Source organism: Homo sapiens, chromosome 4 (genome assembly GCF_000001405.40).
Source record: "Homo sapiens chromosome 4, GRCh38.p14 Primary Assembly".
NCBI lineage: Eukaryota > Metazoa > Chordata > Mammalia > Primates > Hominidae > Homo > Homo sapiens.
The window spans coordinates 84,138,785-84,165,104 of record NC_000004.12 but is presented as its reverse complement, the minus strand read 5'-3'; the positions used below and the strand labels follow the sequence as shown (position 1 = coordinate 84,165,104).

The 26,320-nt window shown below is 36.6% G+C and overlaps 1 long non-coding RNA gene across 1 annotated transcript in view; it reads left to right on the top strand.

Moving 5' to 3' along the window:
- Positions 1-26,320, top strand: part of LINC02994 (long intergenic non-protein coding RNA 2994) — a 331,088-nt gene that overhangs the window by 134,065 nt on the left and 170,703 nt on the right. The window contains exons 6-7 of the long non-coding RNA NR_125909.1: positions 15,849-15,886; positions 16,975-17,058. This is a non-coding gene — a long non-coding RNA (long intergenic non-protein coding RNA 2994). The remainder of the gene's footprint in view (positions 1-15,848; positions 15,887-16,974; positions 17,059-26,320) is intronic.

Genomic DNA, 26,320 nt, shown 5'->3' with positions numbered 1-26,320 from the left:
TTTTATTAGGAATAATGATATCTAAAGGTCATTGTTTTGTTATTTTATTTCAAAGTAACCTATTGTTTTGGCATTCACATGGAATAAGGAATAAAGGTAATCAAAGCTCCTATTTCCATAGACATTGTATATTTTGCTTTGAAACACAAAAATCCTGAAAACATTTAGCACTCTTGGGATGAGTTTATCTCCAGGCTACTGTCAGGATGTACTGGAGTGAAATAAATGAACGCATTTACCTTTTATACCTCACTTCTTCCTCTTTGAAAATTCTTTAATGTAATTGTAATAAGCTTGGTAATTTTGATGGCTTGCAAAACACTGAAATCTCATCTTAGTAGAATGAAATATCCCTTGTAATGACAATGAAACATGTCCTAACGATCTACCTACCCTGCACCCATCATTTAACTAAATAAAAAAGTATAGAAATAAGGAATAATACTTATGTCTATTAATTAAGAATTTAAAAATGAATAAAAACATTATTTCTGTTGAGTTTTATTAGCTCCGGCTTCAGAGAAGAGCTCCATAGATGTCCTTGGCCAGAATAGACAAGAACAGATGAATGGCTTTCTTCACGCTTCTTGTTGGCCCAATCAGCCATGCTTTAGGGTCATGTTAAGTTTGCCATTTTTGTATGAAATCACTTAATAAATTGATTGGCACCTTATCTCTGTGTCAATGTCACTCCACTTTTAGAGATGTCCAAACTGTTTAACTATCAAAAACAAACCATGGAGGACAACTTAGTGAGAAAGGGCTTGTGCTAGCTGAAGATCAAAGGAAGACAGATGACTGCTGTATATATTTGATGTTACCAGAGAAGAAGTATAGTGATTTAGTCAGTGCATATGGTCAGAGCGTCTTGGCTGGCCGCAATACAGCTGGAGAATAAGCCAGGACAAGCATCAGAATGACATTTTCTGAGGAAAACAGGACTTTCAGCTTTAGGAGGATGCCTATTAGAGTGTGACTTTATGTAAACTATATTTTAGAAAATTGATGAAGCTAATTCTGGACATGTTAAAGGAAAAAAGAATCCTTTGATGTGGACAAATGTTACAAAGCATAAAGCAAACTATCATCACATTAACAATATGACACTTTGAGCTGGCTAAGCAGGAATTTCAAGAGAGCTATCAATAAATTGTCTGTTGATCCTGTGGCCAAATTTTAATTTATGAGTATTTTATTAACTTGGGTTCAGAGTCTGAGTTCTCCACACATGGTCAGTTAATGAATGTGTAATGTATTTTGTTATATAATATATTGCAAATGCTGGGGAAGATTAGGTAAAATGTTAAAAAGAGGTAATATGAGAAGCAATATTTTCTTTTAGCCTTATGTGGGTTATTCTTTGAATGATTTTATCATAAACTATGATGTATACAGAGAAAATTTTCAGGATATAAGTTCTGGTCAGACTGAAAAGCAGGATGTAATGATAATTTTAAGTAGTTTCCCAACTTGACTTTTTTTTTTTTTTTTGGTCTGACACTCTTCTTGATAAGGTTGTAGAATAACATTGTGCAACCTCTCTCTTTTTCTCTCTCTCTTTTTAAAGCAGTCACTTTAAAAACACAAAGTGCCTGTTGTGAGTAGCCTAGCCATGAAAGCAGAGATTGGGATAGGCAACTTCAGACTACGCTCCAACCATGCTTGTCTATGAAGAATACTTAGGGCTTAGGTTAGGGAAAATTTGATATCATATTTTTAAAAGCAAATTATGAGGAGCTGTTCCCAAAATTTACTATGTGTTTGGTTTGGACTTCTATGTCCACAAATTTCTAGGATTCATTTGCAAAATGGTAAGTTAATTTTATTCTCTCAAACATGAGCAAAGCATCAAGGAAAAGGATCTTAAAAGGTAGTGTGACATTTTATTCTATAAAATTCCCAACAGCAGAATCTGAATGTCTGTACACAATCCTGTATACCACCTAACTTTAAAAACTTTTAAATGATATAGGTATTTGTCACCAGATGGCATGGGCTATAAAGGCAGGTACCTTGTCTTATTTACTCTGGCATCTAATGCAGTGTCTGGCACACAGTAGGTGTTCATAAACATGTATCACATATTCACCATATGAGTAATTATAATTTAAGGTGGCTTTAGAATTTGAGCTAATTATTTCCTTTCAAACTTATTCTTTCAGTCTTTCTTGTCTTAGTAAATGGTAACACTGATTACTCAATGGCTAAGCCAGAAACCTGGGCACTGTCCTTGGGTCTTTTCTCTCCCTCACACCTCCTATTTAACAATCCGTGTTTTTGCTGCCCTGTGCTGCTGCTGTGCAAAAGTCTGCCACATCATTTCTGCTTGGACCTCTGCAATAGTGCCCTTACCAGTTTCTCTGCCTTAACTCTTGTCTGTTAAAATCTGTTCTCTTCACAGTGGCCAGAATGATCTGAAACCACAAATAGATCATGATATTCTACCGTTTAAACTGTGTAATAGCTTCCCACAGACTTCAAAGAAAATCGACTTCCTCACCAGGGTCTACAAGATCCATATGACCTTGTTCTTGTCTGCCTCTTCAATTTTGGTCTACCCTTCCATTCATTCATTATAACCCAGCTGTGTTTGTCTTCCTTCAGTTCCTAGAAAACGCCACACTTTTCCTCACTTCTCAGCGAATACTCCTGCGGTTTCTTCTGTCTGGAATGAACTTCCTCCCGGTCTTTGCATGGCTGGCTTCCTCTCACCCTTTCAGTCTTGTTTATCCTCTAAGAAAGTTTCCTTGAACCCCTGTACCTGAGTAGGGTTTTTTTCATAGCCCTTCCTCAATTGCTTCACTCACTTTGCATGTTTTTCTGGTCTCTTCACTATTTGAAAAAAGTTACAATTTTTTCATTATCTATCTTCCCTAGTACTTTGAACTGTGCCTTTTTTTGTTTACCATAGCACCCAGTACAATGCTGACAGATATTATGGGCTCAGTAAATATTTTACAAAATGATTTATTGAGTGATGGAACATCTAACTAAATATGTTACATATATGTCTAGTGCATAGGAAAGATAAATGGAAGTTTCATCTTGGCTCAATCACAACCCTTTCTCCCTTAATCCAGTTACTTACTTAGCACAAAATATCTGAAAGCAGTTCTGGGGCTGTTGTGAATTCAAAGATGAGACCTGGCTCTTGCCTTTATGCACTTTTGCCATGGGAAAGAAGATTAACTTGTATACCAGTAACTATAATTTCAAGAGATGGTGGATAAGAGAAGTGTCCTGAGAGTTTTAAAAATATATGTACTATTTATACTCAACCTTATTTTTAAAAGAATTTGTGGCTGGGCACGGTGGCTCATGCTGTAATCCCAGCACTTTGGGAGGCTGAGGCAGGTGGATTACCTGAGGTCAGGAGTTCAAGACCAGCCTGGCCAACAGGGTGAAACCCCGTCTCTACTAAAAATACAAAAATTAGCCGGGCGTGGTGGCACACCCCTGTAATCCCAGCTACTCGGGAGGCTGAGGCAGGAGAATTGCTTGAGCCTGGGAGGCAGAGGTTGCAGAGAGCCAAGATCATGCCACTGCACTCCAGCCTGGCCAACAGAGTGAGACTCTGTCTCCAAAAAAAAAAAAAAAAAAAAAAAAAGAGAATTTGCATTGGATTGTGAATAGGAATTTTAAGAGAAAAATTACCTCTCTGGGTGAACCTGGGGAGATTTCATGAAAAACCCAGTGTTCGACTTAGACTTTGGTGAGTATAGAATTCGGAGGTGCTGGCAGGGTGGAAAAGGGCAGTCGCTGTACACGTGCAAGTGGACAGCTCACATGTACCCTAGAACTTAAAGTATAATATATACATAAAGAAGCAGCTAGAAGGGGCAGAACCTTCATGAGGGATAAATGAGGGAATATGTTTGGAAATGAGGTTAAGTCAGATTGTGCCATGTTTGTGGATTAAGAGTTCTTACATTGTTTGAATAAGCCAAGGGAAGATCTTGAAGGCTTTGGAGGTGGTCAGTGGTTTAATTAGAGCACTCCTAAGAATGGTTAATCTAGAAGTGTCATGTAGGATAGATTAGAAGAGGGAAGAAATGGAAGTAAGGGCATTAGTTTGGAAACTCCCAATTCTAAGAAAGAGACAAATAATATCTATGTGACCTGACCATAGTGTGCATGAAGAAGAAGGAAGATGAGGAAGGTGCTGCAGAAGAGATATCCACATGTTTTGAAAACTCATCAACAGGTTCAAGGTGTAAGGAGGGGAGAAAAAGATACATGTGAGAGTGATAGTAACAGAATGGAGAATAAGAGCAAAAAATTGGTTTCATATAATACTTCAGGCAGAAAAACTGATAAGGGGAGTTCAGTTTGAATACATTGACTATGAGATTGGGGATTATACTTGGAGAAAGGTTTATGATGATGAGATTTCAAGCTTTATGACCTGTTTTCTACATTGGTCAAAGGAAAGAGGATACCCCCTAATTCACTCTCCTTTAAGAATACTGTGAGAAGCAGCCTGGGAAATCACTGATTTCTGATTTCTGTGTAAATCTGACTGGGGTAAAGTGAATGACCCTTGACATGGAGTCAGATGACTTAGGTTGAAATCCTGACTTATGGCTTACTGGCCATGTGATCTTCTCGAACCATGCAAACTCTCCAACCTCAGTTCCTCATGAAATGGAAACAATTCCATGACTATTGTGATCTCAAGAACTAGTAGAGGAATTTGGTGAAATAATGTATTTCAATGTGCATCGTAAATCCTTTTAGGAAAGCAGGATTGGCACGGAAACTCTGGATATGTGCCTTTGACAGGTGATGGGTGCTGGATATTTGATATATCATGTATTCTGCTTTAAATAAATAATTGTCACTTTTTAAAGTTATTATATAGTATTCTTTTCTCTGATCACACATACACATTATCATTTAAAAAAGTAAAGTTTTTGGAAGGGGTTTGTTTCATTGGTCAGGTAACCTGATGATTTTCATTAAAAATTCTTAGTTGTATAAAAGTTAAGCAAGCAATTGGGGACTTCAGGACTTTACCAGTGCTAAAAGTAACTCTGTAAAAAGTAAACCAGTGGAAAAGATAAACTCTGGGGCACCTCTCCTCCCCTCCTGCCTGGCTGAAGCCAAGCTTTCCCGCACTGCCTCCCTGTGTCTGCTGAGAGAAGCACCGGGTGAGTTTCTGCCTAGATAAAGCGCTGTCTCTGCTTACTTCAGGCATGTAGACCCTTTGGGGATGCTGACAGCTGACAGGCTTTGAACACTAGCAGCAGCAGATCTCTGTGCCGGGCTCCATGAGCCGTCCACAGTGCTCTGTGGAAGAAAATGAAAAGCTGCTGGCAGAGCCTCCCTAAAGTTTGGGCAGAACCTGAGGGTTATTTTTATTTTTAAAAACAAACATTTAGAGAATAGCCTATTTCTAAACCTCCTTTACTGTTACAAGAAATTTAATTTCTTTTGAAGTGCAAGCATTCCAAAATGAGGGATGTAAAGAGTTATTGCAGCCAATAAATATGTGGCAGACCCCTTAAAATAAATAAGCACCCTGTCCATTCCTGTATAAATGGCTTTTGTTTGAGGTTCGGATGGATTTGATAAGGATGGTGTTACAACATTTAATGAGGTGTAAAGGAAAAATGACTTTCATAAGTTCACATAACTGTCATTATATTGTCTCCTATGTTCTCCACCCTCACAGACTGTCTCGATCTTTTGACATCTCTACAATAGAAGACAAGGGGATGAGCCGATAAGAGTCTGTATTTGCTGTGGGTACATAAACAGATATTAAAGGTACCAAGAAAAGCTACCAGCAAGGAGGAGAAACAAGAAAGCTGTGTGTGGACTGTTCTTATTGGCATGTAGTAGCCTGCTTCAGTCCACACAGAGACTTTTGAATAAACTAAATATTAAATTGGTACACACGTGTACATGTACACACACACACACACACACACACACACACACACAGAGAGAGAGAGAGAGAGTTCCTAGAGCCATAATCTTTCTTTGATTCCTTCCTCATGTGGATTTTATGTCTTGATCATCTTTTTAAAATCAATAACCATCCTGTTGATTTCTTTTTCCTTTTTAAGTCACCTCCTTCTGTGGCAACATTAGCTAAACACATCCCCGATTCCATTTCGCTCATTAGTATTAATGTCGTAATAATCATTCCCTTCCTTGGCTCCTCAGACTTGCTTCAATATTTACACATCGGCCGAAGCTGATTGAGCAGGAATAATGAGACTTTGACACTCTGCACTGCACAAGGTGGAGGAAAACTTGTTTCCACTGGGTGGACTTTATAGTGAAACAAATTGTATGCCTTATAATTATTAACTAAAATGACAAGCAGTGTCCCTACTATTTGTTACACTTGCCCAGCACTGTGGTGGTGGTGGTGGCATCACCCTAGCTGGACTAATTCCCTGCCTCTCAAGTGACCATGAGAAATGGAATTGCCCTTTAGCCTTCTCCAGACTCTACCCAAATTATTGTTTCATTCTTTTTAAGGGAAAGGTCCCTCTTCGGTCAGAAGGCTTTTATACAGGCTTGTCAGATTGGGAGGGCTTGTACAATTTTATATGTATAGAGCTTCTTTTTTCTTTTCTATTTATTTTCTGGTAAGTTAAACAAGTCAACTTTCCTGCTTTCATCAAACACCTAATTGAACTGGCATTTTGAAGCGCTTGCCAGACGTTGTGTTAGGAGGTGAAGCACCTTCCGACATATTCTCTCATTCCAGGATAAAGTTAAAATAAAAATAATATGTACTGAAGATAGAGTTTTTAAAACATGGAGACATTCTAGAAAGCATGCATCTAAGAATTTACTTGACCTAATTTCAGAGAAAGAGAAAAATTAAAATATCTTTTCATCTCCAACAACATCCTTGTCTTCTAAACCAAATCACCAACATTTTCTAGAAACCTGGATTTGTTTTAGAGACAAGGAGAACTCTTTTTTACTAATATTTGCCCCCTAAGGGTAGAATGTTTGTAGATTTAGACATCTGTGCTTCCTGTCACAGACCAGCTAAAGACTTTCTCATTGCCCCATGTTTTGAAGATTTGTTTTTATCATTGGCGATTCCCTCCTTTAGCACTGGATCTACAGGGGTGTCTCCCTGCTGAGAGTTCAAAATGTTTCCCTACCACAGACGACACTTTCCCCCAACATGGCATGCAGCTTCCATGCACACTCTAGAATACATCTATATTCAGGACTAATTGTTGTTAATCCTGCATTCATTACTCAGTCCTGGCTGGAGCTCTTGCCTATTTTTGTTTCGGTCAGCAGTTCAGAAAAAAAAAAAAAAAAAATCCAGGGACAGTATAAATATCACTATTTAAAACTGGATGTACAAGGACAGAGACCTTCAGGATGGGGATACAGACCTTTAAGAGCAGAGGAAATTGTTGAAGCAGTTTTTTAAATTCACAGAACTGGTATAGGAGAGAACAAAAAAAAATTGGAGAAGAATCTAAAGAAGAGGCGGGGTGAAAGGAAGTGCAAGAAACCAAGCAAAGGGTTCCTGGGCTCACAAAACCTGAGCCTGGAGACTGGGAGCCCATGGCAAGCTACAGGGAAGGGTTGCACTACAGCCATCTGCTATGCCTCCAAAGATGACGGAGGGTGCTTTCGCATAGGATAGAGTGAGTGCGAGAGTTCTGCTCAGTGCCTCTGAGTTTCCTAATATTTTAGCCTCCCGAAGGATAGCCACTTTATGGAATAATCTTCTAATTTTATAACCAGAATAGATGTGAATAATCAGTTTTAACCATCTCTTTTTAAAAGTAAGACTACAAAAAGTCTAATAAGTTCATAAAATGCACAGTTTTGCAAAACTGGCAAGTGTCAGAGTCATGTCTCTTGACTGTTAAGCTAGGGCAATGTAGCTGTTGGAGCCAGACAAATGGATGCTGGCTTCTGTGAGGTAGATGGAATCATAAGCAGGTGACCCACAAATGAACAAAATATCTCATGGAGTAAAAATTCCAAATGCAATTCAAGTTCCTTGACTGAGGTCTAGACCATAAACATAATAAACCAGAATCATAAATATAAACTGGAAAATAAACCGTTTTGAGTGGCTGCCTCAACTTTTCTACTTTCTAACAATAGCTTTAGTTGGAACGTTTACAGGGGAGCTTTTATATTTTCCTGGGGAAAAATATTCTTCTCTGCTCTTCAGGAAACATCATTAGCCACATTGATTGATTGATTGATTGATTCCTGTATTTATTCAGTCATTCAGTATATATTTATGAAGTCCTTGGTTTGTTCAAGTTTCTGAATTGTAGAAATTCCTTCTTTAAAAAAGTCGTAGTCTCAACATAAAATTTATTCTCAAATAGCAAAAATCTGGTCTCTTACTCCAAATTACAAAGTACAAGTTAGCATACCAGAAGGCATTTTTTATTTTAAATAGTCTAGCACAAAACTATTTTAAATGTTTTTTTTAAAGGACAGGGATTAGTTAGGAATCTGCTCCCCACCCCAATCCCCATCCAGAATTTCTTGGTGGAGAAGATTCCTGCTTATAGAGGATCTGAGACTTACTGGCCTTCTGCTGTGAGCTGGGTAACATATAAGGGATTTTACTGTTTTATGTAACTACTTTTATCCTTCAAGATACTTTACCCCATTTTACAGATAAGCAAATGGAGGCTCAAGGCATTAAGAAACTTTCTGATGGCCACGAACTTAAAATGGCAGAGTCAGAACTCAAGTCTGATCTGTTTCCTCTCTGTTTGGCACCTGGTCTTGTGGTAGATTGACTGGTGCTCTGTCTGCTCCATGAGTTGGGTGGGAATTATTGTTTCTTCCATATAATGGGCTGGGAATATTTTTGGGGGTTGAGCTGGAAAACCTTGCCTAAAATTAAATTGTTTCTCTATGCTAAAATCAGTTATTTGTTCAATATTACGTGCTTGGACTGTGCCAGTCCGTACTGTGTGTTAATATTTCAAGAACAAATAAGAAATTTCCATTTGTCTTAAGAGGCTCATGGTCTACTGGGGTGGTAGTGACATATATACATATATATATATATATATATATATATATATATATATACACACACACACACACACACACACAAATAAATGCAGCACAGTGTTCTGTGACTCTATGATAAATCAATATGCATGGTACAGTGGGTGGACAAGGGAGGGACAGGTCAATTCTGCTTGGGAGTGAGGGCAGGTGCAAGGATGTCTTTCACAGAAGTAAGTGAAACTGAGATCATGTATTTGAAAATGTCCTTGACAGTGTCTGGTCATATGTGGTTATAAATATTCGTTATTTTTGTTGTGATAACCAGAAAGGTCTGAAATGGATATATTACATCTATTTTATTCTCCTGCTTAATTTCTGTGAGTTTGACTGCCTGACTTTTTTTCTTGGTTTATACTTTTTCTGTGTGAAGTCATGAGAATGTGATCTAGATCTTTTGTCAGGACAGCACCACCTGCAATTTAGCCACTTAAGGGACAAAAGCAGAGGAAGCAGGGAGCACCCACTTTTCGAGAGGCAATCATTAAGTCAGGCTTTGGAAACTTCTTCTGTCTTCCGTTGCTCTCACTAATCAGAAACCTTCTCTACTTCTGTCACAACCTCCTCTCTTCAACCACATCCCCAGGAGTCTGTCAGGAGATGAAAACAACAGGCTCCCAAAGATGAGAGAAAGAACCAACACAGTAGAACCACTCTAGGGATACACTTCGAGTACGTGCATGTGTGTGGTTTCTTTAAGTCACTGGGAAAGTTTTTAATGCTCCTAGAAGGCAAAGAGGCCTGGAGAGTTACAGAAAGCCCCAGCAGTCTCCAGCTGACACTTGAAAGAAACTGAAGCCATATATCCACCTCAGAAAGAGATGCAGAAAGGAAAGCAGCAGGGGTCAGCTGCACTGGGTATTTTATGTTTTTGTTGTTTCTTTCCTTTAAAAAGTGCATGTCATAGATATATCCTCATCAATCATTTTCAAAACACAATTACACAGGCACATTGGTAGCTTGTTTCCATATTTTTACATACATTCCTACATGAGAGGGCACCCTCTTCTCTGTTTTCCTCTCCCCTCCCCTCTCCTCTCTCTTTCTCTCTTTACTCAGTCCTGCCAACTTTCCTTGGTAGACTTTCTGTCCTTCAGCAATTATTTAAAGCCAGAGAAGCATAAAAGTTGAAGTGTTATCCTAAGATAACCCAGGCTTTGAGGGCAGGTTAAGTTGCAATTGAAGACCAAGTCCACTCCGGGAAACACGGATTTCATCTATTGTCTCTACCAATATTGAAGCTGTTTGTCATTAGAGATCTAAGAAAAGCAACGTGGAAGCAGTAAGCTTGCTATTTAAGGACAATGAACCCAGTCTAAAGGGTGTATGGTGGAGGATGATATGCGTGCATGTGTTCATGCACACATGTGCGCACATGCACACAAACACACATACACACACTTTCGTTGTCTTTGTGCAAGGTTACGTGCAAGGTTAATACAATAATCTCACTTTGTGTTCATATAGAAAGTGGATGGCCATCTATGCCTGTACTTTCTGGTCCTTTTTCAAAATATCATCTTGGAGTAGGTAGCACCTTGGGGTCCCTCCTAATTCAAAATTTCTATGGGAGACAATTTTTGCCCAGATTAGATCTGGTACACTACCTTCATCCAATCTGCTATGACCAAGGGATCGGACTGATGGAGAAGAAACATAGATGTCAAGGGCATAATACTACATGTTGTAGATGAAGGCACTTCCCAATGGATGGCAGTTCTTTGAGAAACAACCAAAAGGCATCTGGTAGGGTGCATAAGAGAGTCCTGACTTTGCTTCAAATAACCTGAATATCTCTGGTAATTTATTAACATTCTCTATGCTTTATTTTCCCATATTTATGTAAAGAATTTGAAAATAATTGGTGTTTAAGCTCCCTTTCAGCCATAAGTAGCTATGATTGTCTTATGATATTTTTATTATAACTGTCCTTTTCTTGTTGTAACTGTGACTTCTGGTTAAATATGTCAAATAGAACCCAAGGGTTTATCTCAGCAACCTCTTCAACTGCTAGTAAAATGAATATAATATAAAAAAGGTATAGTTTCATTAAAATTCACAAGAAAGGAATAAATTCACAAGAAAGAAAAACAAATGAGAGAGGCTAACAAAGCCCCAAAAGCTAAGAAGCTGATGGTTAAATGGGAATGACTTGGCAAAGCAGAAGATAAAAGCCGAGCCCAGAGAGGAGGCAACCAGTCTATCCACAGAACAATTGAAAGCCTCTGGAGAAGAGAGTGCATAAAGAGGTTGAAAACACAAGTGTTAGTTGAAAGTCTGTATAAGGAGCCATGAGAACCCCAGATTACCTCCTGAAGATCCATTATAGACACTCAATTCTCATCTCCAGGAGCCAGAAGACACGAATAATTACTCTCTGGAGGGACTGAAGTAGAGAGGCTCTGGATCCAGACCCTGAGCAAGTGGGGGCAAGGTTCTGTAAGGAAACCAAGGAGACCTGCTGGGAAAATCTTCTCAGTGACTTTTGACCTTCTCCCTTGGCTCCCAGAACACTGGAAACTAGGCGGGTGATTGGATGATTACCTTCTGGAGAAATTTAATTATCCTAGAAGAAAGGCCTCCACTGGCCATTCAGAAAGCCCTAACAAAATAGCAAATTTCTAAATCACTAACTACCATACAATAGGCTCCGCCATGCCCCAGAGTGTCCAATCAGTTTTTCAGTTATTTAGACAATATACACAGACAGACAAGGATCTGAGGACATGTGAGAAAAGCCACTAACATGAAAGCCAGAGACTAAAATAGCAAACAGAAAAAGGAATTCAGGAATATGGAAACAATACAGGCAGCAGAATTAAGCATAAAAGAAAAACTACCAATATTATTGTCCAAGAGATGAGAGAAGATAGTACATGATAAGGCAATAAGAGATGATAAAGAAAAACATTGACAGAATAAGAAATAACTCTAGGAATTAATATCTGGTATAGCCAAAACAACAAATTCAGTAAAAGTATTGCAAGTTGAAATTAAGAATAGAAAAAGAAGAAAAACATACAAGATGGAAAGCAGAAGAGACTAGGTAATTAGGATCCATCCAAGAGACCAAACATATTAATAAGCAATTACTAAGTTAAAGAAAAATAGAAATTTGTGCAAGAAAGAAATAATAGAAAATACTAGATGGTTCTGGAATAAAGGATACTTTATAGTCATAATAAAATAAATACTTAATATTGATTTAACATAAATTTTGATATAACTGCTTTTTGTTGTATTCCAGTGAAGTTGCATGTATAAAAATATACTATTTGCCATTTCTCTTCCTTTTATTATAAATTCTTATTCATGCTTTTATTTTTGATGTATTTCCCTTTAATTATTATTTTATAGATACTCTTGATGTAATAAATTATATACCTTTCAACTATCATATCATTTAAATTTTGTTTTTAGTTTGTCCTTCATCTTGTAATTTACTTAATTTTTTAATGTATAGAATATTTAAATTTTTAGTGTCCGAACCTATCAAACTTTTTATTATTTCCATATTTTCACATTGCTGGAAGGTTATTCTATGAAAACAAATATAACATTTACTTTTATTTTCTTCTTCAATCAGTATGGCTTTTGATTTCCACAGAGTACTCTTTTAATACATTTATGTGCATGAATTGTAGCTAGAAATTTAACTCTGTTTTTTTGCGGTTAGATTTAACTCATTATCCTAGCATGATTTATGGAATAATCCAACCTTTCTTCCCTTGGTTCAAAATGCCATTATTGTCATGTGCTAAATTCTTACATATGCTAGGATAATTCCTGGACTTAAAGTTTCATAGTTTTATTCATGTAGGTAAAAAACATTTTCATTGGGTTAATTATTGTATAACAAGTGTTTTATCATTATAAATGAGATTCTTAAAAACTCATGCTAGTCTCTGATTATTAGTATTAAATAGGAAAGCTATTGATACATGTATTATTTATTTTATAATATACCATTTTGCTGAAATTATTATTTCTAATGGTATTTGAATCGGGTTAAACAGATATATGATTATATAACTTCCAAATGATTACAAATGTGTCTTCCCCTTTCAAGATTTATGCCTTTGATTTTGTTTTCATGTCTTGGTTAAAACTTTCAGAATAATGTTGAATAATAATGATAGCACTGGGCACTGTAATTCCTGGCTGTAATGGGACTGCCTTTAAAGAAGTGATATGAACACAAATGCTGAGAAAAACTTGGCAAGGGGCAAAAAAGTGACACAGGCCAAGTTAGGAAAACAACAATACAAATGTCATAAAACCTAGTCACTGCCACCTGGCGTCTGCACAGAGGGAATTAGGTAGAGTGCTGGTAACTGGCAGGCCAGAATGTACAGAGCCAGTCTGCGTTGGCATACCCCTACTCAGCTACAGTTAGTTGTCATGTGGGCCTAATGTGGAAGAGAAAACAAAGCCCTGGAAGTTTATATAAAATATCATGATTTTTAAATGCTGGCAACTAGAGCAAATTAAAAATGAAACAACAAACCAGCCAAAACAAATCTATCTGTAGGTGATATCTAGCCCTTGGGCCACAGCAAGCTCGTGACCTGTCGTACAGGCTGTAGTTACACTGAGTACGATACTGGCTGTTGATTCCAGATAGATTTGTTTTTCATATGAAGGAAATATATTTTAATTTATTCTTTACCAAGAAATTGTATCAGAAACAGATGCTTTCCTGATTTCCAGGAATAGATGCTACGTTAGCATTGAGATGATTTACATGACTTTTCATACTCCCAGAAAGTTGTGCTTTTATTAAAATTTTAAAATTTATTAGCATGGGGTTATCTATATTATTATTTTCTTGATATGCTCCGTATTGAAAGTTAATCATATTTTCTCATTAATATTGTATTAGTCTGCTAGAGCTGCCATAACAAAATACCACACACTGGGTGGCTTAAACAGCAGAAATGAATTTGCTCACAGTTTCAGAGGGTAGAAGTTCAAGATCAAGGTGTTGGCAGCTTTGGTTTCTCCTGAGGCCTCTCTCCTTGGGTCGTATATGGGCTCTTGTTGGATCCTCACATGGCCTTTTCTCTGTGCACGTGCATCTCTAGTGTCTCTTTCTCTGATAGGGACACCCATCCCATTGGATTAGAGCCCATCATTATAACCTCAATTAATCTTAATTACCTCTTGAAGGGTCCTATCTCCAAATTACAGCTGCGCTGGGAGTTAGAGCTTCAACATATGAATTTTGGGAGGACACAGCTTAGTTCCTAATGAATATTTTGGTTATCATTTTTCCCCTTTCTTCAACATTACCAGAACTTTCTTCTTTTTTATTGTTATTTTTTCCAGAGAATGAGCTCTTGGTCCCACAGAGTCCTAAGCATCCTTTTATCATTTGTGTAGTCCTGCTTTGGCTCTTAATTCCTGCTTAGTGTAGTTGGTAAATAAAACCAAGACACAACATATAGAAGAGCAAGAAGTGTCCTTGGGAGGCCAAGCGTGGTACTTCTTTAACAGAGGATGATTCAGGAGAGTGAGTTAGTCCTTCCCAGAAAATGTTTGAGAGCACAGACTCTGGAATCAGGCTGCCTGAATTCAACTCCAGATACCCCACTTACTATTAGGTTGGTGCAAAAGCAATTGCTGTTTTGCCATTACTTTTAATTGTAAAATCTACAATCACATTCACACTAACCTAATCGCTGTGTGACTTTGGATAAACTACTTAACCTCTCTGTTCCTCAATTTTCTCAACTGTAAAATGGAACTAGTAATGATAACCTACCACACAGAGTTGTTATGAGGAATAAGTTAATATTTGTAAAGTGCTTAGAAGATTGCCTGGTACATAGTAGTTGCTATGGAAGTGTTTATAAGTAATAAATTATTACAGGTTGTGCAGGGATGATAAGCAGTGGACAAGGACACATTAGAGTGTGTAGGATCTGTTGCCAATAGTGTTACTGCACAACAGGGCCCCAGAAACTGGTGATATTACTGAGGCCTGATGGGATTCTCCACTGTTTTTCCTAGAGTCACTTGTAGATAGGTCTGGCTCTTTAAACTAAATGAACTTTTATTTGTATGGTGGTGAGGGCATAACTTTTAGTTTAGTTCTGTAGGCTTAACGCATGTCTAATTTGTACTTCAACCTAGTAGATTATTTTCTATATACACAGCTAAATATATCAATTCTTTACCTGTTACATTTTTAGAAAATATTTTTCCTTGCCCTGTAAGTTGTTTGTTCTTTTTTTGTGTGTGTGATTTTGACATTTTTAAATGCATTTTGAATATTTATGTAGTTAAGTCTTTTGGATTTTCCTTTTGTGATTTCTTTGATTGCTTTTGGGCTCTGAAATTCCTATTTTAAGATTAAATTTTTAATTTTATTTGCTGGGCAAGAAATTCTAATGCAAGTCACAATGCTGGCAAAAAGACAAATACAGTCGTGATTGGATGCAAATATCAGCTCAAAGTCTCATTAAGCTAAAGAAGTTAATTGAGTAAATTCTTGACTTGACTTGCCGACGATTTCATCTCTCAGAAAGTAAAAAAAAAAAAAAAGCCATGAGGGAAACTTCTATTCTTAACTTCATAATCCCCAGAAAAGAGTTGCTTAATGAAGTGTAAATGATGAAAATTTTGTTGAAAGTAACCATGTGATAGGGTAGAGAAAGTGTGATGTAGTAGTTGCATGTTATAGATGAGAGGTGGCAAGCCCCTTTCTTCCTACTTGTAGGCCAATGGCTGGCATCAGTAATTAATCAAACAACTTTTTTTTTTTTTTTTTTGCTGAGCTTGAAAATAGCTTTAAATGCTTCTCCATCCAGTTCTTCAGAGAGCTACTATCAACAGATTGAGTTGACAGGTGGGAGAATGTTTATTTTCCATAACTTTTCTAGAGTAAAATGTTGTAGATTTTTAAAGCCTCAAAAAATATGTAGGTTAGGAGCCCATATTTGTTGTGACAATACTTGTATGACATATTATATGACAATTTATTATATAGTCACATTGTACTTGTCTCATCTAATTACAATGGATTCTTCACCTGACAGTCTCTCCTGGATGATAAAACCCTTGATGATAGGGACTATGCCTTACTCCTCTTCGAATTTGTGGTGTCTTACATAAGGTCTAAGTGGCATATCAAACTCATTCAAAAATGCTGAATCAAAGAGCTGCTGGCTGAGCGCAGTGGCTCACTCCTTTTATCCTAGCACTTTGGGAGGCTGACAAAGGAGGATGGCTTGAGCCCAGAAGTTTGAGACTAGCCTGGGCAACATAATGAAACCATCTCTACAGAACATTTAAAAATCAGCTGGATGTGGTGGCACATGTCTGCAGTCCCAGCAACTGGGAAGGCTGAGGTGGGAGGATCACTTGAGCCCGGGAGGTCAAGGCTGCATAGTGAGCCGTGATTACACCACTGCACTCTAGCCTGGAGGACGGAGCGAGACCCTGTCCCCTATCTCCCACAAAAAACAGCTGGTAATAAATATAAAAACATTTTATATATTTACATGGATTTTTATATATTTAAAAACTATGTTTTGTACTCATTGTTTTGTTTGATTGTACTTTCTACTAATTTCAGACAGGAGGGAAAACTCCATCAAAGGGTCAAAATGCCTGGTCTTTGAAGATAATTTTCAATTTAAGACAAAAGTAGGGCATGCTGTTTTTGTGGTACTAATGTAGCACAAAACATTATTTATGAAGGAAGACTAAGATATATTGGCTAAATATTGAGAAATAGCTCACAATGTGAGTGGCAAAAATTGGTCTTTGGAACTATGTCCAGCTTCCTGGCTTCATTTTCTCTGAAGTGGGTCAGCTTGATAAAGTCTTGAACATAGTTTTACAAAGATATTAATGATGCTCACTAAATTGTGAAAAAATTGTTCATGCTGTTTTACTAGTATATATTGAGTTCTTTTTATTTTTTTTCAAAAGGAAAAAGTCATAATCCAGGCCAAAGTGAGCAAACTCCCAAGAGCATTCCTGGTCAGCACCGCAGCAAATCCGTGGCAAGTGCAGGTAATTCATTCTCATGACAGTGTCCAGAGAGTAGGGCTAAAATGAAAACAGCGGTGAGTGATGTGGTGCTGCTTCACCTTTTTCACTGGGGAAATATGAATATAAGAGAAAGTAATTTGTGCAGAAGTAAAATGGAGGTGTCTTTAGTTTGTGAAAATCCCTGGTGCCCCTAGTCATTCCTCTATACCATGAAACTCCCACAGTTACTATGCCCTAAAGAAACATTATTTGGACTGGCTAAACATAGGACTGAAAAAGAAAAAGAAAAAAAAGGCAAACAGTGAAGGGTGAAGGAACCATAGCCTCAAGATTGCAGAATAACAAGTCAGAAAAAGTAGAAATTAGAAATTCCACTGATGATAATATTATGTTGAAGGTGATACTTCAGGAGATCAGTTTTGTGGTTCTTTTCATTATGGACTGAAAGGGGGAGAAAAGTACTCTAACCAAAGGCTAGCAGTTAAAAAACTCAACTCCAAAGGCCCAGGTGTACGCTTATAATGTTCTGAGCTACAAGAGTGGCAATATAAATGAAAAAGATGGCAACAAAAATGCTACCAAGAGAGCCATACTAGGGCTCATGGACTATATAGATATAGATGTAAGGGAGAGGGGGAAACAGCATGCCATCTCCACCAGATGCCATGGTTTGGTTTTCACCATCAGGTAGATGGTCATTTTACTGTTAGACAAATTACTCTAAAGCAAGACTCTGGTTCTAAAAAGAAAATAGAAAATGTTCCATTTCTTTCTCTTGGTTGCTATTCCCTTTTCCTCATATTATTTTATCATTAAGAATATGCAATTAAGAGTCAGCACAATGTGGTGAATATAGCAGTGAATTGACTTGGGAGTGCCCCATACAACTTCCAATTCTACCGCTGAAAAACTCTGTGAGTGACCCTCACTAAGCCTCAGTGCCCACAGCTGTAAAATGAGATTGGACTGGACAATCTCTGAAGCCCCTTCCATTTCAAAATTTCTATATTGACTTCTCTATGGGTTGTAATATTTCCTTAGGATATGAAATATGATGAAAATATGGCATTTCTGTGAAAGGTGTTGCCTCCTTAAAGTGTACTGTTTTTCTTTGACCTTTATCATTTCATTGGCATCTACCTTTATCAGAAAGCCCTTTAAGTTTTAAAGACTTCCATAAATTGCAGTTTGTGAACCCAGGGAGATGGAAAGATCAGAAGAATAATTTAATGCTTTTGCAGGCAGTTGAGCAGGCCATGAAAACAGAAAATGAAACTAAGTCAACAAGCAAACTGATGGATGCCACACAGGCTAAGGGGTATTTTAGCAGGAGAAGTAATGTCACTGTGCCAAACCATATGGAGCATTAAACCCAGGGAGGACGTCGGCACAGGCCCTGAATATGGATGGAATTCAGCTCATTCCTCTTTAACCCTCTGTCTACATTCTCATTTGTCAAACTGAACAAAGATTAAAGTAACAACAAGGTGAATAATGAGGAGAAGGAAAAATAATACTTGCTCTGATGATTTAACCTGAAACTACAGTAAGTGAAAGTCACAGAAAACACCTTTGAGTGTTTTCATGTGTGCCGACCTTAAGTCAGGCAGATAGATCTGTGACTGCAGGAAGGTTCTCTTCTTGTCTAGTTTCTGTCCATTTTTCTTAGAATCAATAGCTAAACTTTTTTTAATCTTGGAAACAAATCACTTTTCCTAAATTAGGACTAAAGTTCAAAATAAAGGTAATTCCTAGAGGTGATGACATTGACTTAATTCATACTGAATTGTGAGTGAATGATAGCCGATTTTGCCTGAAACAGTGGAAAAGCACTGCTATGTCTCTGAAATCAAGAATGCTAGACACAGGGGAGGAAAGACTATTACGAAGAGAGATTGGAGGCCTTGAGCAATCCCCGTGCCTGTTTTGCACTTTGCAAATGCTGACATATTTAGTCCTCAAATTAGTTGTTCTAAGCTGTCTGTGGAAATCATTTTTGTGTTGATGATTTCTGTTAGCAAATAAAGATTTCTAGATATTTTCCCAGTTCCTGAATTCCTCTGCCCAATGCATCAGTCTTGGCACTTCTCTGTTGGTAGAAGTAAAATGAACAAAATGACACCTGAAAGAAAACAAGGAGAAAGAAACCAAGGTACACCTCCTACTTAGTAAATCTATGTTGTCTTCCCAACCTCCTGTTTCTCTGGGCCTGCTGGGTGAAGCCTCTCTAAGAACAAATGCTCCCATATGAGAAATGTCCAAGAATCAAAATTATTGGAAAATGAACCCCAAAATGCACTAAATTTCTGGAAGCATAAATATATGCCTTTGTTAAGTATCAGAAACAACTTAATCATTGGACTTAAAGATTTACTTTGAAAGCAGCCAGTTAAGTCTTTTGAACACCACACACTGTTCTTTATTATTACTGCTAATTGAAAATCCATAAATGTGAACTAAGCACCTTTTTAGTAAAGGGGAAAAAATGAGTTCAGCTAGTGTGGTTTGAAAAGCAGCCCAGATGCTGCTTTCTAATGATGTCTTAATGTAAAATTATCAATAGAACAGAAAAAAACGTATTTATGTCATGCATTTAAAGAAATGATGACTCAAGAACACAGGGCTTGAATGAATGGCATCTTCGTTTGTGAACTTTAGCAGACCTTTATGATATTTTCAGCAACCTTTAAACCGTCATGAGAATTAGCTCAGCATGTGAAAGAAATTAGGTCAAAGTTTTAAGGAAAACAGGATGAGGGGAAAATTGTTTACATGGAAAGCATGAGCAATGGCAGGAGTCTTGCCCTTCTTTTGACTGTCAATTGAAGTGATGATGTGGAGGTGGGGAGTGGAGAAAACTGGTCAACAAGACTCAGGATGTTGCCTGAGCCCAGCTGCAAAATGTACAACTGCAACATGGCGGCTTTACGGCTTGACTAGACTAGCCTTGGGATTACTGATTTCTATTTCCAAAAATTCACCAATTTGGTGAGTGGGAATAGAATAATTGAATTTTTAAAACTTTTTTTTTTTTGAGACTGAGTCTTGCTCTGTTGCCTAGGCTGCAGTGCAGTGATGTGATCTCAGCTCACTGCAACCTCCACCTCCCAGGTTCAAGCAATTTTCCTGTCTCAGCTTTCCGAACAGCTGGGACTACAGGCACACGCCACCATGCCAAGCTAATTTTTGTATTTTTAGTAGAGACAGGGTTTCACCGTATTGGTCAGGCTGGTCTCAAACTTCTGACATCAGGTGATCCATCTGCCTGGGCCTCCAAAAGTGCTGGGATTACAGGTGTCAGCCACCATGCCCGGCCTAAAACTTTTATAATAAAATAATTCTAGATTTATAGAACAGTTGCAAAAGTGGTATAGAGAGTTCCCATATACCATTCAGTCAGCTATTTTAATGTGACTATTTTATGTAGTCATGGTATATCATAAAAACTAAGAAAGTAACATTGGTATAACACTATTAACTAAACAGACATTATTTGGATTTCCCCAGTTTCTACTAATGTTCTAATTTATTTTCCAGGATTAAATCCAGTACCCGACATTGCATTTAGTCATTGTGTCTCTGTATTTTCCCCCATTCTATGATGGTTTCTCAGTCTTTCCTTATATTTCATGATCCTGACACTTTCAAAATAGAATGTCCCTCAATTTGGATCTGTCTTATGTCTTCTGATGATCAGACTGGGATTATTATGGGTTTTGTTAAAGACTACCACAGAGATTAAGTGTCCTCACATTGCCTCATATCAGGATTACATGACATCAAATGACTTACTGCTGGTGATGTTAACTTTATCACCTTGTTAGGCTGGTGTCTGCCAACCTGGTAAAATTGTTATAAAAATAACTTTTTTTAACCTTTCATACTCTATTCATCAAAAGTCTCTATTCATTAAAAGTGATTTACTAAATTCAGTGCACCCTCAAGGGGAGGGGAATGAAGCTCCACCTCCTGAAAGGAAGAATATCAAAGAATTTTTGGACGTATGTTAAAACCACAGCAAGTAATTAATACATATTTTGAAAAATGCACCTTGAGGCTTAGCAAATATGTTGCATATCTATAAAGCTTTGTCCACTAATTTTGGCATTCATTAGGAATCTGCCTATAGCAATTATTTGTGGGGTGTTCTAATGTTGATTTTCTGTTTCCCTCATTCCTTCTATATTTCTTCATTGTAATTCATCTGCAAAGATGATTTGAGTCTTCTCTCCCATATATTTATTCAATCATATATTTCTATCAGTATGGACCCATGGAGATGTATTTTATTTAGAGGGTTGTAATTTAATACTATCATTTATTTAGTTGTTCAAGTTGTTTCAGTTTTGGCCGTTGGGAATTCTTTCAGGTGGCCATGCTCTCATTAAAATACATTTTCCCTGTTACTTTGCAGTTGTAGAAATACTTCAGATTTATCTTGTATCTTCTGTATCCCAGCCTAGAATCACCCATTTCTCAAAGGATTCTGTTTCTTTCCCTAGATACTGGTACTTAGAAACCAAGATATAGATGCTGGGTATACTCAATATTGCTGCAGTATCACTGCTTGTAGGCACTTTCAGTAGACAGCACTAAGGATTATGTATATGGATATGTCTATGTATACACATGCAACTCACGTACACACACATGCTACATTTCTGTTTCTATCTAGTACGTGTGCACACACATATAAATAAACACACATATAAATAAACACACATTCATAGAGTCATCATCAGCTCTAATTCTGTATCACATGGTTTTTATCCCGTTGTTATTTGTAACTTCTTTCTCTGACAGTGAGGAACCTAGTTTTTATTCCTTCAAATATATTTACTTATTTACTCTGTGCTAATAAATATAATTTCAGAATTGCTAAATTGTACTTCTGTGAGAAACAAATTTACTGACTAAAATACAATATTTGTACACTTTATCTTTAACTTTAGAGTACCCAGACAAAACAGTTTTTCAGCTATTTAGATCAGCTCCTTTCTTCCCCATCCCCTTCAGCGAGCTGACATCTTACATTTGTAGTACAATCAGATTGTTTTGTTACAGTCTGAACTCTGTCCTGGGTTCCCCCACCATCCTAACTGATTGTGTGTGAGTGTATGTGTGTGTGCAAACAGTAAAAGTTGCACTTTTGTATTATACACATCTATAGGTGTTTACAAACATTTAGTTCTGTATCCACCGATAGTACCACAGAGCCCAGTTTCATCCCCCTCACATCTCCCTTGTGCAGCAGCTTTGTACTTTGTACTCAATCCTTCCCCTTTCCCCAAGAAGAAATCTTTTTTTCCTTTTAATTTTTATTTTTATAGTAATAGGGTCTCACTATATTGCTCAGGCTGGTCTTGAACTCCTGGCCTCAAGTGATCCTCTAGCCTCAAGTGATTGTCTTGTCTCAGCACACCAAAGTGCTGAGATTACAGGCATGAATGAGCGAGCCACTGCGTCTGGCTCAAGTCTGTTTTTCATTCCTATAGTTTTGTCTTTGCCAGAATGTCATCAAAATTGAAACCCAACATGCAGCCTGTGGGGTGTGGTTTATTTCGCATTGCAAAATGCATTTAAGAATCATCCATGTTGTTGTATGAATCAGTAGTTAGTTCCTTGTATTGCTGAATAGTATTCCATTGTATGGATGTACCACAGTACGTTTTTATATCTAGCTGTTGGAGAATAACTGGGTTGTTTCTAGTTTGTGGCAGTTATGAATAGCTTTGCTATAAAAATTTACATATGAGTTTTTGTGAGAAAATAGTTTTTAAGTCACTTGGGTAAATAAATACCTGTGAGTAGGATTCCTGATTGGTTATTTTAACTTTCCAGGAAACTATCAAATTGCTTTCCAAAGTATCCATACATTCTTATCAGCAATGTATGAATGGTCTGTTTTCTCCATATCCTTTCCATCATTTGGTACTGTCAAGTATTTGTTTAAAAGACTTAATTTTTTAAAGCAGTTTTGAGTTCACAACAAAATTAAAAGTCCAGAAGTTTCCCATGTATTCCCTATCCCCAACACATGCATAGACTCCCCCATCATCAAAATCCTTCACCAGAATGGTACATTTGTTACAATTAATAAACCTACATTGACATATTATTATCACCCAGAGCCAGAGTTTACATTAGGGTTCCCTCTTGTATTTGTATTCTGTGGGTTTGGGCAAATGTATAATGATATGTATCCACCATAATACTATCATACAGAGTACTTTCACTGCCCTAAAAGTCGTCTGTGCTCCACCTATTTATTCTCCCAAACCCCTGGCAACCACTAATTTTTTAATCCTTTTTTTAGTTTTGCCTTTTTCAATATATCATATGGTTGGAATCATATAGTATGTATCCTTTTTAGACTGACAACTTTCATTGACTTTTTAAAAATTTTAACCATTCTGATAAGTGTATAGTGATATCTCATTGTTTTATTTTGTATTTCTTTAGTGAGTAATGATGTTGAAAATATTTTCATGTGCTTTTTGTCACCCATATATCTTCTTTGGCGAAGTGTCCATTCAAATCTTTTTTCCGTGTTTTAATTCACTTGTGTCTTCTTATTGGATTTTACGGGCTCTTGAGATATTCTGTATACAAATCACTTATCAGATATGTGATTTGCAAATATTTTCTCCTAATCCGTTGCCTCGCTTTTCATTCATTTAACAGTGTCTCTTAAAGAATAAAATTTTGAAGTTTTATAAATAAAATTATTGTACTAAATAAGTTTTGCTTTTAGTGTTATATGTAGAACTTTATTACCAAACCAAAGGGCATGCAGATTCACTCTCATGTTATCTTCTGGAAGTTTTAAAGTTATATGTTTTACAGCTAGGTATATTATGCATTTTGAGTTATGTTCTATATAAGTTATGTTGAGGTTTTTTTTATGTAGATTTCCAATTGTTTCAGCACCATTTGTTATCGTAACTGTCCTTTCTCCACTGAATTACCTCTGCCAAAAAATCAGTTGATAGTATTTGTGTGGGTCTATTTCTGGGTTCTCTATTCTGTTCCATGATCTGTTTATTTATCCCTTCACCAATACAACTGTCTTGATTACTGTGTAATCAAACTGTGTTTTATTTTTGCCTTTTTCTATGCCTCTTAATTTATTGATAAAAGCAAAAGCTTTATAGTAAAACTAATAATAGGCAAGTGTATGTCCTCCAACTTTGTTCTTCTTTTCCAGAATTGTTTTGGCTTTTAGTTCCTTTCCCTTTTCAGATAAATTTTAGAACCGCCTTGTCAATATCTACAAAAAGCTTGTTAAGATTTTGATTGAAAATGCACTTAATGTATAGATTTAATAACACCAAGACTTAAAATCCATAAATATATTTTATTTCTTTAGTTATTTAATTTTCCTTTGTTTTCTTCCATTATATTTTGTGTGTTTCAACATAAACTGTACATATTTTCTTTAATTTATTTTTAAGTACTTTATTGTTTAGGTACTATTTTAAATGATGTTTTTAAATTTCAAATTTTAATTTATCATTAGTAATATATAGAAATGCAACTAACTTTTGTATATTAACTTGTAGCTGTGTTCTTATAAAATTTACTTATTATTTCTAGAAGCATTTTTATAGATTGTGATTTTCAATGTACACAATCATGCTGTCTGCAAATAGGAAGTTTTATTTCTTTTTTTACAATTCATATGCCTTTTATTATTTTGTTTGTTTGTTTGTATTGCACTGGATAGAGCTTCCAGCACAATGTTGAATACAAGCCGTCAGAGAGGACATTCTTGCCTTGCTCACATTTTAGGGGGAAAGCCCTCAGTCTCTTACAATTGAGTATGATGTTAGCTGTAGGGTTTCTGTTTGTTTGTTTTGTAGATGCCTTTTATTAGGGTGAGAAAGTTCCTTTCTACTTCTGTCTTACTGTGAATTTTTAAAAAATTGGTAACGAACTATAAGTTTTGTCAAATGCTTTTTATGCGTCTGTCGTATCATGTAGGTTTTCTTATTTAATTTACTAATAAGTTGGATTATATTGATTTTTGAACGTTGAACCAACACTGTGTTCTTGGAGTGAACTCTGCTTGGTTATATTATTTGTTTATATATTATTTTATTTGATTTCTAATATTTTGTTGAGGATTTTTGCTCATGAGGAATATTTATTTGTATTTTTCCTTTCTCATAATTAAACATACTTTTACATTTCTATTGTATGACTATGATACATGTTGGTGTGTTTTTAGGTATTTATCTTGCTTCTCATTCTGTGGGCTTTGAGAATCTGTGTGTGTGTGTGTGTGTGTGTGTGTGTGTGTGTGTGTGTGTGTGTCATCAATTCTGGAAACTTCTCATACATTACCTGTTCATATATTACTTCCACATCATCCTCTCTTCTTTTTCTAGAATTCCAATTATGTGCATGTTAGGCTGTTAAATATTATGCTACATCTATTGGATGCTGTTCTTTTACTTTTTACCCCTTTTATTTCAATTTGGGTATCTCCTGTTGACCTATCTTCAAGTTTACAGATTCTCTTTATAGCTGTATTGAGTCTACTGATGAGTTTGCTAAAGGTATTCTTTATCTTTGTTATATTTTTGATTTCTAGCATTTTCATCTCTCTGTTCTATCTCTCTGTTGAAATTACCTATCTTATATTACTTGTTGTTTACTACCCTATAATGTCATAATCAGTTACTTTGAAAATTTCCTTCCTTCTGCTTGCTTTGGATTTAAGTTGTTCTTTCTCTACATTTGTAAAATGGCAATCTAGTCTGAGCCTGATTGTTTTTTCTCTTCAAACTGTGTTTTATTTTTGCCTTTTTCTATGCCTCTTAATTTATTGATAAAAGCAAAATATACATGTATCTATATATAGGACAGCATACACTGAGATAAATATATTTCATGCTTGGAAATGAGCACATCTTTCCTTCTGCTGTGCCCTTAATGTAGAGGTTTATGTTACTAGTATCAGCAGTTCAGCTGGGTTTGAAGTCTGTTGCTGTGGGTCCCATCAGTGCACCAAAGGGCTCAAGTTTTTCTTGTGTTTAGGGTGTAGATTTGTATACCATAAAGTTTTTCTCAATGTATGTTTCCCAGAGAAAATTTGTCTCCTGTAGTTCTTTCAGAAGTATTTTCCCGCTATTTTTGCTCAGTACTTGTCAGCATGGTGGTAGGAGCTATAAGAAGGGAAACATTTTCTGATGTTATGATTAAGCTTTAGTTTAAGGGAGAGACTGGGCATCTGGGGGGTTCCAAAGTGCTCCTCCTCTAGCTGTAGCACTGGGCTTGT